General features: G+C 42.0%; 1 protein-coding gene across 7 annotated transcripts in view; it reads left to right on the top strand.

Annotated features, from left to right (window-relative positions):
- Window positions 1-18857, top strand: part of ZYG11A (zyg-11 family member A, cell cycle regulator) — a 52239-nt gene that overhangs the window by 30460 nt on the left and 2922 nt on the right. For 3 of the 7 annotated variants that reach the window (NM_001004339.3, XM_011541481.4, NM_001307931.2), the window contains 5 exons: window positions 4463-4624; window positions 4706-4750; window positions 8252-8446; window positions 12614-12675; window positions 13737-13834. In NM_001004339.3, coding sequence (NP_001004339.2) covers window positions 4463-4624; window positions 4706-4750; window positions 8252-8446; window positions 12614-12675; window positions 13737-13834 — 562 coding nt within the window. Of the gene's footprint in view, window positions 1-4462; window positions 4683-4705; window positions 4751-8251; window positions 8447-12613; window positions 12676-13736; window positions 13835-18857 lie in introns of those variants that run through there. The other 4 variants (XM_011541482.4, XM_011541480.4, XM_011541483.4 and 1 more) reach the window with 4 other exon arrangements.

Genomic DNA, 18857 nt, shown 5'->3' on the forward strand with positions numbered 1-18857 from the left:
GAAGATCACCGGAACCCAGGGAGATTGAAGCTGCAATGAGCGGTGATTGTGCCATTGCACTCCAGTCTGGGTGACAGAGAAATACCCTGTCTCAAAAACAAACAAAAATAATATTCATGATTCTTGGGAGGAGGTCAAAATATGAACATTACCAGGAGTTCAGAAGTTGATTGGAACCCTTGTGGATAACTTCGAGGGGTCCAATTCTTTAGTGGAAGGAGTAACTGTAGATGCCAAGAGAACTAAAATTATAAATGGAGCCTGGAGATGTGACTGAATTGCTGCAATCTAAAACTTTAACACATGAAGAATTGCTTGTTGGGGAAGAGCAAAGACATATTTTGAGATGGAATCTAGTTCTGGTGAAGATTCTGTGAACATTGTTGGAATGACAACAAAGGACTTTGACTTATTATATAAACCTGGTTGGATGAGACAGCAGCAGAGTTTGAAAGGATTGACTCCAAATTTGAAAGAAGTTCTAGGCCAGGTGCGGTGGTTCATGCCTGTAATCCCAGCACTTTGGGAGGCCAAGGTGGGTGGATCACGAGGTTAAGAAATCGAGACCAGCCTGGCCAACATGGTGGAACCCCATCTCTACTAAAACTACAAAAACTAGCCAGGTGTGGTGGCGTGCGCCTGTAGTCCCAGCTACTCGGGAGGCTGAGGCAGGAGAATCACTTGAACCCAGGAGGTGGAGGTTGCAATGAGCCGAGATCGCGCCACTGCACTCCAGCCTGGGCAACAAGAGTGAAACTCCGTCTCAAAAAAAAAAATAAATAAATAAAATAAAAAGAGAACGAAGTTCTTTCTTGAAAGGAAGGGTCAATTGATGGGGCAAACATCATTGCTATCTTAAGAAACTGCCACAGCCACCCCATCCTGATCACCATCTTGATCAGTCGGCCACCATCTTGATCAGTCGGCAGCCATCAACATTGAGACAAGACCCTCCACCAGCAAAGAGATTACCACTTGCTGAAGGCTCAGGTGGTTTAGCGTTTTTTAGCTCTCTCTCTCTATATATATATACATATTTTTTAAGGTAGAGTCTTTCTCTGTTGCCCAGGCTGGAGTGCAGTGGTGGGGACCCATCTCAACTGCAGCCTCGACCTCCTGGGCTCAAGTGATCTTCCTGCCTCAGCCTCCTGAGTGGCTGGGGCCACAGGTGCATATCACTACACCCAGATAATTTTTTACATTTTTTTTTTTGATAGAGACAGAGTCTAGCCGTGTCACTCAGGTTGGTCTCGAGCTCCTGGGCTCAAGCGATTCTCCTGCCATTGCCTCTCAAAGTGCTATGATTATAGGCGTGAGCTACTGTGCCCAGCCATAAAATATTTTTAAATTAAAGTATCTACATTGGGCCGGGTGTGGTGGCTCATGCCTGTAATCCCAGCAACTTAGAAGGCTGAGGCAGGCGGATCATGTGAGGTTAGGAGTTTGAGACCAGCCTGGCCAACATGGCGAAACCCCATCTCTACTAAAAATACAAAAATTAGCCGGGTGGGGTGGCACGAGCCTGTAATCTCAGCTACTCGGGAGGCTGAGGCAGGAGAATCCCTTGAACCCGGGAGGTGGATGTTGAAGTGAGCTGAGATCATGCCACTGCACTCCAGCCTTGGCAACACAGTGAGACTGTCTCAAAAAAAAAGGTATCCACATTGCTTTTTAGACATAGTGCTATTGCACACTTAATAGACTACATTATAGTGTAAACATAGCTTTTGTATGCAGTGGGAAAACAAATTTGTGTTACTTGTTTTATTGTGGAATTGAACCCACAGTCTCTCCTAGATGTGCCTGTTTATTGGAAAAAAAATAGGATGAACCAGAAAAGGAGACTGAGAAGGAGCATCCAAAGTGCATTAGAAGGAAGCTGAGAGTGGGTGTTTTAGAATCCAAGAGGAATGTTTCAGGAAAAATTGGGCCATCATATCAAATACTACTGAGTGGTTGAGTGACGTGAGGACAGAGTTGACCATTGGATTTGACAAGAGGAAGTCATTAGTCACCTTGATTATGTTATTTCAGTGGGGTGGCAGGCCAAAACCTGATTGGAATAGGATGGAATAGCAAATGGGAGGTGAGAAATGGATGTAACTTTTTGATATAATTTAATGAGAAGGAAAGCAGAGGTGGGGTCAGTCTTTAAAAAGATCGACTACATTAAGACATATTTTGTGCCCACGAGAAGAGTTCTAAAGAGGGAGAAGTTGACACCACAAGCAAAATAAAAGGAAATAATTTTGGTGCTGAATCTCAGTATGTGCAGAAATTGAGTTTAGAGTAGAATAAAGATGTTTGCTTTAGATTGGAGCAGAAGGGAAGGCAGAGTATGTTGATGCAAATGCAAGTAGGTTGGTAGCTTTTGTTAGGAAGAGTGGGTGTATTTCTCAATGAAAAAGAAGATGAAATCAAATGAGGGGAGTGAGAAGATGGTGATTCAAGTTTGAAGATTCAAGTTTGAGGTGATTCAATTTTGGTGCTGAATCTCTGTATGTGCAGAAATTGAGTTTAGAGTAGAATAAAGATGTTTGCTTTAGTTTGGAGCAGAAGGGAAGGCAGAGTATGTTGATGCAAATGCAAGTAGGTTGGTAGCTTTTGTTAGGAAGAGTGGGTGTATTTCTCAATGAAAAAGATGAAATCAAATGAGGGGAGTGACAAGATGGTGATTCAAGTTTGAAGATTCAAGTTTGAGGTGATTCAGTTTTGGTGCTGAATCTCTGTATGTGCAGAAATTGAGTTTAGAGTAGAATAAAGTTGTTTGCTTTAGATTGGAGCAGAAGGGAAGGCAGAGTATGTTGATGCAAATGCAAGTAGATTGGTAGCTTTTGTTAGGAAGAGTGGGTGTATTTCTCAATGAAAAAGATGAAATCAAATGAGGGGAGTGAGAAGATGGTGATTCAAGTTTGAGGAGAGAGAATTAGGAAATAGTAGTCTTTGGAGCAAATTCTTTGGGAAATAAAGTAGTATTGACAAATACGGTTAAGTGTCCTTTTGAAATTTATGAGCAGGTATTGAAATTGAGACCAGGTGAGCTCAGTCTTCTTCAACATTAATATGTTGAATGTTGGGAGGTATGAAGTAGACTGATAGTTACGTTTAACTCAGGTAGGAGTTTTGCCATATAATATAATGCAGGAACATATCCCAGGAACATAAAGTTGCTGGGAGGGGTAACAGGACTAGTTGAGATACAGATAAAGAGAGCAGGCCAGGCACTCTTACGACAACAGATAAGTCTCCTCTGTGTCTTAGATTTTTCATCTGAAAAATGGGCCTCAGTTGAAAAAATGGTATCTGTCATAGTAGTAATAGTGCACAGTTATTTTGAGTATCATTAAGCTAAATCGTATGACCAAGGGCCTGGCCACTGTGATACGCTCAGGGACAGGCTCACTTCCCCTGCTCCTGGCCTTGCTCTCATTCATCTAACTAGCTGCTTAGGTGAGTGCACCCGTCTCATCTAACACTCTTCTCTTGACTCTCACAGATTTATTTTTGTGATGAAGTCTCTTGACACATTCTCTCCTGATTGGGCAAAATATTTGAGGTGGTCTCATTCTTCTTGAAAATATACATTCTGATTTGTTTGGTGCTTTGTTATATTTTATGTATCTTTTCATCAGCTGGTTAAAGTGAAAATCGTTTTGTCTTTTTCCTCTCACATGACAGTCTGATATTGAAAGAGACCATAAATACTAGCTTGACTTCTTTCTAGAAATGTTGATCTCAAATGGTACTTTGCAGTCTGTTTAAGTGAACCAGTGGCCTCTTCAAGATGTGAGGTCATGTGATGGAATGCTGGCCTGGTGTTCTAGCCCCACTGACCTGCTCAGTGGCTTAGAGCAGCAGACTTTTTTCCTGCCCCAAACTTTGCCTGGCATGTGCTTCCTCCCCCTCTCCCCCCAGCCCCGTTCCTGCATGTCCCCATTTCTTACTGGGCTGGCTTATCCTCTTTTTCTTCTGGTCTCAGTTACATATTATCTTTGTATGGAGGCTTCCCTCTCCTACCCTTCCTAAAGCCTCAATTTTAGGCTTTTATGTGTTTTCATCAGACAACCAAAATTTAAAATTCTTTTATTTAATTGAGAAAAGCCAACTTTTGTTCTGTCTGCCTTCTACCCTTTTTTCTTTCTTTTGTACTTGGCTTAGAGAAGGTGTTGACTAAGTGTTCTAAATAAAAATAATGGAATAGCTAATAATGTACTTGATGACCATATACCAAGAACTGGACTAAGTGCTCACTAAACTTAAATTTTTTTTCATTTAATCCTCACAAAAACTGTAAGAAGTAGTTGTAATTTATTTTATAGAAAGAAAATAGATCACACAGCTACTAAGTGGCAGAACTTGGGTTTAGAACCGAGGTTTGATGCGTCTTAACATTGCTTTCCTTATACCGCAATTGATTATTCATTAGAGCATCTAACTCCCTCCCTGTCTCTTTGGTTTTTAGGAACTTCTAGCAATAGTAAAACAAAAGACTACTGAGAATTTAGATGATGTCACCTTCTTGTTTACTTTGAAAGCACTTTGGAATCTTACAGATGGGTCTCCAGCTGCCTGCAAGCACTTCATTGAAAATCAAGGATTGCAAATCTTCATCCAAGTCTTGGAGGTGGGAAGACAGGATTGAGTTTATATGTAAAGTTCTTCTCTTCATGATAAAGTAACCTGTATGTATATATTTTTTTGACAGACCTTTTCAGAGTCAGCAATACAAAGCAAAGTACTTGGTCTTTTGGTAAGGTGAATTGTTTTGAATTAATTTTAATTGCTTAAAAGCAAAACCTAACACTTATATAGTACCTACTATATGCTAGGCAGTATTGTAAGCAATTTACATGTATAAACTCATTTAATCTTTACATTAGCCCTACAGAGTAAATACTATTGTATATCAGTTATCTATTGTTGTGAACAAACTATAGCTTAGTGGCTTAAAACAGTAGCCATTTAATTTACTTATGAATCTGTGGGTCAGTAGTTTGAGCTCAGCTCAGCTGTAAAGTTCTTCTGGTCTGTCTGGTCTCATGTGGGGTCACTTATGTAGCTGCAGTCATCTGGTGGCTTGACTGGGGCTGGAGGGTCTAAGATGGCCTGACTCTTATGTCTGACAGTTGGTGCTGCTTACCAGCTGGCGGGCTTTGTGTCCACAGGCTTCTCCACATGGCAATCTCTAGAGGGCAGGCCCCACTGTCCAAGCGCTTTTTAAACCTCTGCTTATATCACCTTGCTAATGTTTCATAGGACAACACAGGTTATATATTTAAGCCCAGATTAAAGGCAGTAAAGTCACATTGCTACGGGGTGTATATACAGGGATAGGAGAAGTTGTGTTATTTTTGTATTCTACCATACACTGTTATCCACGTTTCATAGAGAATCTGAGTCCCAGAAATGCCGTTTATCCTAATTAGAACTCAAACTCGGCCAGGCACGGTGGTTCATGCCTGTAATCCCAGCACTTTGGGAGGCCGAGGTGGGTGGATCACCTGAGGTCAGAAGTTCAAGACCAACCTGGTCAACATGGTGAAACCCTGTCTCTACTAAAAATACAAAAATTAGCTGGGCATGGTAGCACATGCCTGTAATCCCAGCTACTTGGGAGGCTGAGGCAGGAGAATTGCTTGAACCTGGGAGGTAGAGATTGAAATGAACCAAGATCGTGCCACTGCACTCCAATTGCACTCCAGCCTGGGCAACAAGAACGAAACTCTGCTCAAAAAAAAAAAAAAAAAAAAAAAAAACAAACCAAAAAACTCAAACTCAGTCAGTCTGGCTCCAGACCCTCTGATATTAATCACTTTACTATACTACTTCTTTATCCAGGAAGTCTATTTTTTAGCAGTTTCTTTGTTGATACTTATGTACTGACTCTCAATCAAGGTATTCTACAATTGAGAAATTTCTTCATTTCCTAAAGCTAAAGGTGAAGATTTTTCAATAAGTAATAAAGACATATAGTAAGCACCTGCACTTTGCCATGCCATATGCATTGGAAAAATACGGATGCATGAAATATGTCAAGGTGATGGTGCTCATAACTTTGGGAAGGCAGTGTTAGACGTGTACAAACAGGTATCTGATTTACAACTGACAAGTGAGTGCTGCAAGAGAGGCACTGAGTCCATTGGGACCCTTGGTTCTAGGTCCTGAACTCGTTGAAAACATGGAGGGACTGTGCCTTATCTTCGTGTATCTCACACATACAGGACTCACAACAAAGTAGATGTGAAAGGCTTCACAGAGAGGAGTAAATGATTAATACTGGAAATCTGGAAGGTACGGAAAAGTATAAAGAAGGGACAAAGTCATTTTTGGCTAGGGAAGATTATTTATAATGTAATCAATAAGTGTAATCATTGAGGAACACTGTAAAATGGAATGGTTAGAATTTGGGGAAAAGGTGGGAAGGTGAAAAGGAATGGGAAATAATGCCAGAAAGTTGGATTGATGCCTCATATATCCTGTACAATTCTACATATCCTACCAGCTGACCTAAAAGATCTTCCACTTTTCTTATTTATTTATTTATTTATTTATTTATTTATTTATTTTTGTCTCGCTCTTGTCACCCAGGCTGGAGTGCAATGGTGTGATCTCGGCTCACTGCAACCTCTGCCTCCCGGGTTCAAGTGATTCTCCCACTTCAGTCTCCCGAGTAGCTGGGATTGCAAGCATGCGCCACCACGCCCAGCTAATTTTTGTATTTTTTTTAGTAGAGACAGGGTTTCACCATGTTAGCCAGGATGGTCTCAATCTCTTGACCTTGTGATCCACCTGCCTCAGCCTCCCAAAGTGCTGGGATTATAGGCATGAGCTACCGCACCCAGCCCACTTTTTTTTTTTTTTTTTTTTTGAGAGATCCAGAATGTGAGGATTTACAAGAAAAATCTTGGGACTCACCTGTGGTGCCCCTCTCAGTTGTGCTAAGAATGTCTTGTTAGGGGGTAACATATGATAGACTTAACACTGAAATCATGCGTAGATGAGAGATATAGCTGGTCTTGGGAAAAACAGGCGTGGGGGGGACATCTCAATTTCTGCTTCAATCTTTAGTGTCCTATGTGCCTCAATATACTAGTGTCTAGAGTGTGCTTTCCTGAATGGTTCATCAGAAGCAGCAGTTAATGCTAACACAAACTGCTGTGTTTACTTTGACTGTTTCACCTCATTAAACCTTTGGTTTTTCATTTTTGTAGACAGACTCTCCCAGTGATTCCAGCCTCCTGGCACTGACATCCCCTACCCTTGAGTGTGGACAGGACCTGTTTCTTGATTCTAGCCAAGGGAATATGGCAAAGATGATAAAATATCACTCCCATGATTATGTTACTATATACTTATATATATGTATCTGTCTTGCTAGCAGGCCCACTGTAGGGACTCTTTCTCTCTGGCCCTGAAGGAGCAAACAGTCATGAAGTAAGTGGTTGGAGGAGGGAGAAGCCCACCTTTTAAGGAACTTGGGGCAGCTTCTAGGAGCCGAACGTGGCCTCCAGCAAGAAACTGAATCACTCAGTCCTGCAGCCACCAGAAATGAATTCTGCCAGCAGTCTGAGTGAGGTTGGCAGTAAATTCTCCCCCGGTGGAGCCTCCAGGTGAAAATGCAGCCCAGCCAACACTTTGATTGCAGCCCTGTGAGATCTCAGAGAAGAGGGTCTAGCTAAGTCATGCTGAGACTCCTGCCCCACAGAAACCAGGGAATCATAAATGCATGTTGTTTTACGCCACTAAGTTTGTGGTAATTTGTTACACAGCATAGAAAACTAGTGTAACATATAAAATAAAATACTGCCTGACTTTCATTGTTGTTGTTAAAAGATAACGTAACATTGAGCAGGCCTTCAGTAATGTTAAGTATTTGAATTAGGCCTTGATTTGTATTCTAGTTCATCCAGTTATTAGCAGTATGAACTTGACAAGTTTGTCTTGCTTAGTGTCACATTTCTTTGTAGTAGTATTTTAAAGATTAAATGAGATAAGGTAGATAAAAAGACAATTTTATTTATCTAGTACTGTGCCTGGCACTTAGTAAGTACTTATTTAGTGATTGTTGTTAATGATCATCCTCATCAAGGGAGTTGGATTGTGGGTTTTAGGCTAGCTTGAGGCGGAGGCGGGTATAAGAATAAGAGTTCTGAATTTATCTGACCTGAGAAGCAGGAAAGGGAAAAAAGCCAATTCCTGATTCTCCCCTCCCTTCTTGTCTCTGGGGTTCTCTGCTCCATCTGACCTGTAGAACAACATAGCAGAAGTCAGAGAGCTCTCTTCCAAGCTGGTGACCGAAGATGTGCTGAAGCATATCAACAGTTTACTCTGTAGCAGGGAAATGGAAGTCAGCTATTTTGCTGCAGGTATCATAGCCCACCTGACATCTGACAGACAGCTTTGGATATCCCGTGACTTCCAGAGGCGTACTCTTCTCCAAGATCTGGTACAGGAACCACATTCTTATTTATAAAATCCAGAGTAATCTCTAATTACAGAAAATGTAGTTTCCTAAATCATAATAATATGATTGTAGAAAGTGGGAAAAATAGAGAAAAACTTATTACTAACCCATATCTTTCCATCCAAAACTATCTCTGTTAACATTTTGTTGCATATGACTTACTTCGGTCCTCTTTCTCATCAGCTTTTTTTTTTTAAAACTATTTACTTTATTGATGTTTCTTTTTTTTTTTTTGAGACAGGGTCTGTCTCCCAGGGTGGAGCACAGTGGCACAATTCACAGCACACTGCAGCCTCAACCTCGGAGGCTTAGGTGGTCCTCCCACCTCAACCTCCCAAGTAGCTGAGACTATAGGTGTGTGCCACCACACCCAGCTAATTTTTGTATTTTTTGTAGATGGGGTTTTGCCATGTTGGCCAGGCTGTTCTCAAACTCCTGAGCTTAAGCGATCTGCCTACCTTGGCCTCCCAAAGTGCTGGGAATACAGGCATGAGCCATCGCGCCTAGCCAACTTCCTTATTTCTAAATAACATATTATGCTGCTGTTCTTGACTTTATCGCTTTAGGAATCTATCAATTCATTTTCCCACTTTGGGAAACTAAGATTCTTTTTCTCACTGTTTCTATGCACAGCCTTTCTAAGTGTATACTCAAGGTATAAATCTTCATACATATTCTGTACACTTCACCTTCTCAGGACTTTCTTACCTTTGCATTCCTTCCATGTGGTCTGCTTGTTTTGTACACCGTATATGGTGGACTGCTGTCATCCTCGGACTCCCTTTGCCTCTCTTGTGTTGGATTCCGTGTTTCCTGGCTTATGTGCCTCCCTGTATCTTGGTTTACTCCCACCTTTTGTTGGACCATATTCTCCAGTAGCTTCCTAAGAAAAGAGTCTTGAAATGAGACCATACCTGTTTAAAAAGGCCTTTATTTTACCCTCACATTTAATTGATCAAATGGCTGGGTATAGAATTCTAGCTTTGAAATATTTTTCCTTCATAATTTAAAAATGTTTGCTTCATTGTCTTTTACTTGTCAGGATCACTGTTGAGAACTCCCATGCAATTTTCTTTTAAGCTTTAAGGTTTTTGTCCTTTGTCCTCAGTGTTCAGAAATCACAATGGCTTACCCTGTGGGTTTATTTTCATTTTTTTGTTTATTTTTTGTTAATTTTTTTCTTCTTTGTGGGTTTATTTTCATATATTTTGTTGAGTACTTATCAGTCAGGAAGCTCATTTCCTCCCTGGGACATTTCTTTAATCATTTTTTTCTGGGATGTTGGCCTTCCCAGACTCATCTTTTCATATCTAGCTCATTTATCTTTTTTGTTCTGAATCCTCTTCTAAAAATATAATATCCTGTTTTTGTTTCATAGTTCTATATCTATTTTTCTCTTTGAACGTAATAATGATAATTTTAAATTTTATTTTATTTTATTTTATCTTTTTGAGATAGGCTCTCACTCTGTTGTCCAGGCTGGAGTGCAGTGGCACCATCTCAGCTCACTGCAACCTCCGCCTCCTGGGTTCAAGTGATACTCCTGCCTCAGCTTCCCAAGTAGCTGGGATTACAGGTGTGGTAATGCACACCTGTAAAAACACAATAATTGTTGTGTTTTTAGTAGAGACGATTTCACCATGTTGGCCAAGCTGGTCTAGAACTCCTGACCTCAAGTGATCCACCTGCCTTGGCCTCCTGAAGTGCTAGGATTACAGGTGTGAGCCACCATGCCTGGCCAATTTAAAAAAAAGATTTTTTTTTTTTTGAGACTCGGTCTGTTGCCCGGGCTGGAGTGCAGTGGTGTGATCTCAGCTCATTGCATCCTCCACCTCCTGGGTTCAAGTGATCCTCCCACCTCAGCCTCCCAAGTCGCTGGACTACAGCTGCATGCCACCACACCTAGCTAACTTTTGTACTTTTAGTAGTGACAGGGTTTCACCATGTTGGCCAGGCTAGTCGCAAACTCCTGACCTCAAGGGATCTGCCCACCTCAGCCTCCAAAAGTGCTGGGATTACATGCATGAGCCATCATGCCCAGCCTAATTTTTAAGTTTTCCTGTTCGTCCAAGGCTACTGTTTCCTGCAAGTTGCTTTTTTTCCTATTTATTTTGTTCCATTGTGTTAGAGATTTTCCTAAAGTTAGGGTGATTCTGAGCTGTCCATGGGGACAGCTAAGAGTGGGACTGATTGAAAACTGCAGACAGGTAGAATGTGTCAGAGGCTTGCTCTGTCACCCAGGCTGGAGTGCAATGGCATGATCATAGCTCACTGCCGCCTCTGCCTCCTGGGTTCAAGTGATCCCTCCGCCTCCCGAGTAGCTGGGATTACAGGCGCCTGCCACCATGCCCAGTTAATTTTTGTATATATTTTTTTAGTAGAGACGGGGTTTCACCATGTTGGTCAGGCTTGTCTCCAACTCCTGACCTTAGGTCATCCACCCACCTCGGCCTCCCAAAGTGCTGGGATTACAGGAGTCAGGCACTGCACCCGGCCAATAAATAAAATTAAAAAAAAAATTAGCTGGGCGTGGCCGGGCACGGTGGCTCACGCCTGTAATCCCAGCACTTTGGGAGGCCGAGGCGGGCAGATCATGAGGTCTGGAGATCGAGATCCTCCTGGCTAACATGGTGAAACCCTGCCTCTACTAAAAATACAAAAAATTAGCTGGGCGTGGTGGCGGGCACCTGTAGTCCCAGCTACTCGGGAGGCTGAGGCAGGAGAATGACGTGAACCTGGGAGGTGGAGCTTGCAGTGAGCCGAGATCGTGCCACTGCACTCCAGCCTGGGCAACAGAGCGAGACTGCCTCAAAAAAAAAAAAAAGCCGGGCGTGGTGGTGGGCACCTGTAATCCCAGCTACTTGGGAGGCTGAGACAGGAGAATTGCTTGAACTCAGGAAGCAGAGGTTACAGTGAGCCGAGATCGTGCCATCGCACTCCAGCCTGGGCAACAAGAGTGAAAATTCATATTCAGAAAAAAAAAATTATAAGCTTAATTGTCAGTAGTCTGAAAGCCTAGTAAAAGGAGAGAGTTGAGGGGCAGGGGATCTCAACATTTAGTATTTAGGTTTTAACTCCAGACACACCCCTGTTTTTATCATGGTGTTCCCACCCTGAATTGTTTATGGGGTTGCCCAGTCCAGATGTTTTTATTAAGGATCACAGAAGAAATCGGGGAGTCCGAATCCTTTGAACCAGTCTTCCTATTTTCTTTTTCTTTCTTTTTTTTTTTTCTCCCAAGATGGAGTCTCGCTCTGTTGTCCAGGCTGGAGTGCAGTGCAGTGGCGCCATCTCAGCTCACTGCAACCTCTGCCTCCTGGCTTCAAGCGATTCTCCTGCCTCAGTCTCCTGAGTAGCTGGGATTATAGGCACACACCACCATACCCGGCTAATTTTTGGATTTTTTTAGTAGAGACGGGTTTCACCGTGTTGGCCAGGCTGGTCTCAAACTCCTGACCCCAGGTGATCTACCCGCCTTGGCCTCCCAAGTGCTGAGATTACAGGCATGAGCCACCGTGCCCGGCCCACTCCTCCTATTTACAGCCCCACTGTAATTTCACTTCAGGAAGTACCTCACGTGCCAAATTTTTAAGTCTCTTAGGGGTTCTCTTCAAATTGGTTTGTGTTTTTTGTTTTGTGTTTTGTTTTTTGGGTTTTTGTTTTTTTTTTTGAGATGCCCGGCTAATTTTTTTTTGTATTTTTAGTAGAAACGGGGTTTCACCGTGTTAGCCAGGTTGGTCTCGATCTCTTGACCTTGTGATCCGCCCGCCTTGGCCTCCCAAAGTGCTGGGATTACAGGCGTGAGCCACTGTGCCCAGCCTGGTTTGTGTTTTAACCTTTCTAAGTGCTAGGTATTAAATCAGTTACCATTTTTCCATGTGCATTGTTCTTTGTTTTACTTTCTGTTAATGGGATTATGGAGGAGTAGAGGTAAATTCGTGCTCAGTCCAGCATCTTTAAACAGATGCCCCTTGTTCTTGTAATTTTTCCCACATTGTTAAGATATTGTGTGTATATAATCGTTATGTGATTGATATTTTGCCAAGTAGATGTATCTAAATTTGTTCAATCGTTCCCAGATTTTGAAACATTTTGTTGTAAATGATGGATTATTCAAATGTTGGTTTCTCTCTCTTGTTTTTGGAGTAGCATGCAACCATACAGAATTGGCCAAGTTCAAGTTGTAAGATGACAGCATTGGTGACCTATAGGTAATTTCATGGTGTTGTGCTTTTCTTCTTTTTTTTTTCTTCTTTTTTTTATTTTTGAGACAGAGTCTTGCTCAGTCGCCCAGGCTGGAGTGCAGTGGCACAATCTTGGCTCACTGCAAGCTCCACCTCCCGGGTTCACGCCATTCTCCTGCCTCAGCCTCCCGAGTAGCTGGGACTACAGGCACCCGCCACCATGCCCGGCTAATTTTTTGTATTTTTAGTGGAGACGGGGTTTCACCATGTTAGCCAGGATGGTCTCGATCTCCTGACCTCGTGATCTGCCCGCCTCGGCCTCCTAAAGTGCTGGGATTACAGGCGTGAGCCACCGTGCCTGGCCCAGTGTTGAGCTTTTCTTAAAGGCTGTACTCAGTGATACAGTGATAACGTGTTAGAGTCAGTTAGCCTTATGTTCAAATCCTATTTCTCTGATATTGGGAAAGTCATTTCTAGAAGGTCAGCTTTCCTTGTCTGTAAAATGAGGCTGACAGTGTGCAAGATTGAGGATGCAATGAGATACTGATCATAATAAAGGGTTTAATACAGAATGCAATTTCTTAAATAATAGCTTCATTGTATGCTCGGTCACAGGGAGAAGTTGACCCTGTGGGGAAAATGTTTAAAATTTGAAAATTCTTTTTTTTTCAACCTTTTGAGTCAGGGTCTCTCTCTGTTGCCCAGGCTGGAGCTGGAATGCAGTGGCGGGATCACATCTCAATGCAGCCTTGACTTCCCAGGCTCAAGTGATCCTCCCACTTGAGGATCCTCCCACTTGGCCCTACAGGCGTGTGCCACCAGGCCCAGCTAATTTTTTTTTTTTTTTTTTTTTTTTTTTTGTAGAGACGGGGGCTCACCTTGTTGCCTAGGCTGGTCCCGAATTCCTAAGCTCAAGCAATCCACCTACCTTGGCCTCCCAAAGTGCTGGGATTACAGGCATGAGCCACCATGCCCGGCTGTGAAAATTATATACATTATTATATTAATTATATAGTACAAATTATTATATCCCTGAGCACTGGCCTAACTGTTCTGGATTAACATCTTTGTACTTTTTTTTGTTTTAGATCTTTCAAGACATTTTTCCCGCTCCTTGGCAACTTCTCTCAACCAGAGGTTCAGCTCTGGGCACTATGGGCTATGTATCATGTCTGCAGTAAAAATCGTATGTATTCAACATATATTCAAAACATAATAGTTTTCCAGCTATTTTTCTGTGTAATGATTAAGTTCAAGATGGATGTGCAAAAATTGTCTACCTCTGTCCTCTGAATTTAGGTGTGTTTAAAAAGAAACTGAAAAAAGATATTACTAGCTTAAAGCAATGCTTCAGAATTAGTAATCTATTTGGGGGTAGATAGCAAGCAAAATAAAAAGTAAAAGTTTGCTCCTACTTGTATTCCCCACAGACAAGCACCGTTAATAATTTGATACCTAATCTCCCAGATACTTTTCTATATCCATGCTATATTTAGTATGTGCTGTATATATGAAATATATTTTTTAACAAAGTGGGCTCATTCTGTGCATGCTGTCCTATAGCTTGGTCTTTTCACTCAACAGTTTATTGCTGACACTCTTCCTTTAGTAAAACATGGACCTGCTTCTGTGTAATGGTCTCTGGGAGACTGGGAGGCCAGGAGTCAGGGGTTATTTCCCAGACAGATTAAATATTTCTGCATGTTTTGCAATTTAAAATCCCTTTTGAGGCCAGGTGAGGTGTCTCCCAAAGTGCTGGGATTACAGCACTTTGGGAGGCCGAGGCAGGAGATCGCTTGAGGCCAGGAGTTTGAGACCAGCCAGGGCAACATAGCAAGACCCCACCCATGTTTTTTACATTAAAAAAAAAATTAGCCAGGTATGTGTGGCATCCATCTAGTGAAGCCAAAGTGGAAGTATCCCTTAAGCTCAGGATTTCGAGTCTGCAGTGATCTATGTTAGTGCCACTGCACTCTGTCTTAAAAAAATAAAATCCCCTTTGAGAATTTTCCGTTGATATCCTTTGTTGAGACTTGTTATACAATTTTTCATTGTATTATAGGAGATATAAGCTATTATTTTACAACAGGAAACCCAAGAGACAACTTTTAGAATTAAAAGTTTAGCTTGTTGACTAGCTGTAAAGCAAGTGTATAAAAACCAATAGTTTTATAATGCCAGCAAAAATCAGAAAATGTAATTAAGGGAAAATATACCACCACTCACTTTATTAACAAAAACATAAAGTATTTTAAAATGCCTTTAACAGGTAATGAGACATGCAGTAAACTATGAGATAATTTAAAAGCCTGAAATAATTATGAGACCATTCCATTTTCTAAGATGGAATGACCTATTAGATATATAGATGTCATTTCTTTTCAGTTTATTAATGTAATATAATTCAACTGAATAGGTAAGAGATGGAGGATCTGAAAATTATTCTAAAGTTTATCTGACAGAATCAACAGGAAAGAACTAACAAAAATGTTTGTTTGTTTTTTTCTGAGACGGAGTTTCACTCTTGTTGCCCAGGCGGGAGTGCAATGGTGCTATCTTGGCTCACTGCAACCTCTGCCTCCTGGGTTCAAGCAATTCTCCTGCCTCAGCCTCCCGAGTAGCTGGGATTACAGGTGCCCACCACCACACCTGGCTAATTTTTGTATTTTTGTTAGAGACAGAGTTTCACCATGTTGGCCAGGCTGGTCTCGAACTTGTGACCTCAGGTGATCTGCCCGCCTCAGCCTCCCAAAGTGTTGGAATTACAAGCATGAGACACTGCATCTGGCCAGAAAAATGTTTTTTATGGGCTCAGCCTGGTGGCTCAGACTTGTATTCCCAGCACTTTGGGAGGCCAAGATAGGAGGATCACTTGTGCAGGAATTCAAGGCCACAGTGAGCCATGATCAGGCAACTGCCTACTTCCAGCCTGGGGAACAGAGCAAGACTCCTGTCTCTAAGATAAGAAAGAAGGAAAGAAATGTGGTTTTTAGGAGCTTGCACATAGACTTCTCTTAACATTGTAAAATGGTGCCATGAGTGGTTCTGACGTATGAATAGATAGATAGCAGATGATTGGATCAGAATAGCCCTGAAACAGACTCATACAGTTATAACAGGAGAAACTAACCGAAACTAGAATTCAGTTGAGTACTTATTATGTGCCAGGCAATGTTGTAAGCACTTTATGAATAACTCATTTAATCTTCACAACAACTAGAAGGGTAAGCATCTTATTTTATTTTATTTTTAAAATTTATTTAATTTTAATTTAGTTTAATTTATTTTATTTTTGAGACAGGGTCTCACTTCATTGCCAAGGCTGAAGTGCAGCGGCTTGATCACAGCTCACTGCAGTCTCAGCTCAGGTGATGCTGTCACCTCAGCCTCCCAAATAGCTGGGACTATGGGTATACACCACCATGCCTGGGGTTCTCCCCAAAAAGAGCAACCCTTACAGTATTTTTATCAGCATCATGTTAGATTTATAAGTCAACCTAAAGATAATTCCCATCCCTATGACAAATGAGTATTTCTTTAAAAAAAGTATTTAATTTTTTTTCTTTTAAATTAAAAAAAAAAACACCTCAAAACAAAAAGCAACAGGGTCTTGCTATGTTGCCCAGGCTGGTTGTGAACTCCTGGGCTTGAGTGATCCTCTTGCATCAGCCTCCCAAAGTGCTAGGATTACAGGCATGAGCCACCATGTTCAGCCACAAATGAGTATTTCTATCCAAGAACATGACTAATAAATATATTTTAGTTCTACCTTGTTTTCATATCCTTAAAGATAGTTTAGGTGTTACTATTTTACAGTCAAGGCTTATTTCAATTTGCTAAATACCATTTTTTTTTTTTTTTTGAGATGGAGTCTCGCTCTGTCACCCAGGCTGGAGTGCAGTGGTGCACTCTTGGCTCGCTGCAAGCTCTGCCTCCCGGGTTCACGCCATTCTCCTGCCTCAGCCTCCCAAGTAGCTGGGACTACAGGCGCCCGCCACCATGCCCGGCTAAATTTTTTTGTATTTTTAGTAGAGACGGGGTTTCACTGTGTTAGCCAGGATGGTCTCGATCTCCGGACCTCATGATCCACCCGCCTTGGCCTCCCAAAGTGCTGGGATTACAGGCGTGAGCCACGGCGCCTGGCCTCAATTTGCTGAATACCATTTTCTTTGCTCATCACTGCTTGTTTTTTTTTTTTTTTTTCTTTTTTTTAACCCCCACCACTCCTTTTCTGGATTCAGGTTTTGATAGTGCATTACTGACAAAATCTCTTTGTCACCCCACCCCTATTCTTACTCTTAAATAATAATATAGCTGGATGTAGAATTCCAGATAGTTACTTACTTTATTTTAGCATTTGGGAGAAAAATATTTTCTTTTAGTTTTTTTTTTTTTTTTTTTTTTTTGGAGACAGTCTCTGTCGCCCAGACTGGAGTGCAGTGGCGTGATCTCTGCCTCATAGGTTCAAGGGGTTCCCCTGCCTCAGCCTCCTGGGTAGCTGGGACTATAGGCATGCACCACCATACCTGGCTAATTTTTTGTGTATTTTTAGTAGAAACCGGGTTTCATCATGTTGGCCATTCTGGGTCTCAAAGTCCTGACCTTAGATGTTCGCCTCAGCCTCCCAGAGTGCTGGGATTACAGGCATGAGCCACGACACCTGGCCATTTTCATTATTTTCTATTGTTGCTGTTGGGGTCTACTGTCAGCCTAATTATCATTTCTTGATAGGTAATTTTTCTTTTACTTTTTTTTTTGAAACAGGGTCTCACTCTGTCGCCCAGGCTGGAGTGCAGTGGCACAGTCACAGCTCACTGCTGCTTCAACCTGGGCTCAGGTGACTCTCCCACTTCAGCCTCCTGAATAGCTGGGACTATGTAGCATCACACCCAGCTAATTTTTTTATTTTTTGTAGACACATGGTCTCACTACATTGCCTTGATCCTCCTGCCCAGGCATCCTAAAGTGCTTAGATTACAGGAATGAACCACTATGTCTGGCCTATTTCTCTTTAACTGGGTCTAAATCTTTTTCTTTTCTTTTCTTTTTTGAGACAGTTTCGCTCTTGTTGCCTAGGCTGGAGTGCAGTGGCATGATCTCAGCTCACTGCAACCTCTGCCTCCTGGGTTCAAGTGACTCTCCTGCCTCAGCCTCCTGAGTAGCTGGGATTACAGAGGCCCACCACTATGCCCGTCTAAGTTTTTGTATTTTTAGTAGAGAAGGGATTTCACCATGTTGGACAGGCTGGTCTCAAACTCCTGACCTCAGGTGATCCACCCACCTCAGCCTTCCAAAGTGCTGGGATTATAGGTGTGAGCCACCGTACCCAGCCAACTGGGTCTAAATCTGCTCTTGGACTGTCTTTAATTTCAGTGATACATTTTTAAATGTCTGAACTTTTTATTTGCTTCTTTTCCAGATATTCCTATTTTTTTTCTTCTTTAAAAGTAATTATTTTGTGGTCTTTATCTGATCTTATTATGTGTGTTATGTTGAGTGGGGGCAGTTTTGGATTGTGAAGTCAACTTTAGCAGGGCTTATTTTTCTGAGAATTCATTTTAGAATGGATTGGCGTGTCCCTGAGGCGGTTTTGTATTCGCTTCTGTGAAGTGCTCCAGAGGTTTCCATAGGCTTGTGCTCGTTTTTTTATATTAATTTCTCAGCAATATTCAGGTAGTGTAAACTCAAACCTTATTACCCACTTGGGATTGTGGTCATGAGAAGATTTCTCCTCTCCTACTCCCGTATACCCCTACAGCCCCATCCATGACAGAGATGCTTCAGTATCTTATCCCTTTTCTTATCTAGCCCTTTGTGGGTCTACTTTTATGTAGGAATATTGCCTCCAACTCTGCAAGCTGAAATTGAAATGCCTCAATTACTAAGACCGCCAGTTTCTTTCTGCCGCAGGCTAAGCTGCAGGTTAGCTTACACTAGCTGAAGTGCTCTTTGTTTCCAGCTCCTGGAAAATTCCTTTAGTTTGTACATTCATCTATGCATTAAAAAATTTGTGAATTATATTTTATTTAACATCTGGTGTTTTTTATTTTGAGACAGAGTCTCGCTCTGTCGCCCAGGCTGGAGTGCAGTGGCGTGATCTCGGCTCACTGCAAGCTCACCTCCCAGGTTCACGCCATTCTCCTGCCTCAGCCTCCCGAGTAGCTGGGACTACAGGTGCCCACGACCACGCCCAGCTAATTTTTTTGTAT

Source organism: Homo sapiens, chromosome 1, assembly GCF_000001405.40.
Source record: "Homo sapiens chromosome 1, GRCh38.p14 Primary Assembly".
Classification (NCBI taxonomy): Eukaryota; Metazoa; Chordata; class Mammalia; order Primates; family Hominidae; genus Homo; species Homo sapiens.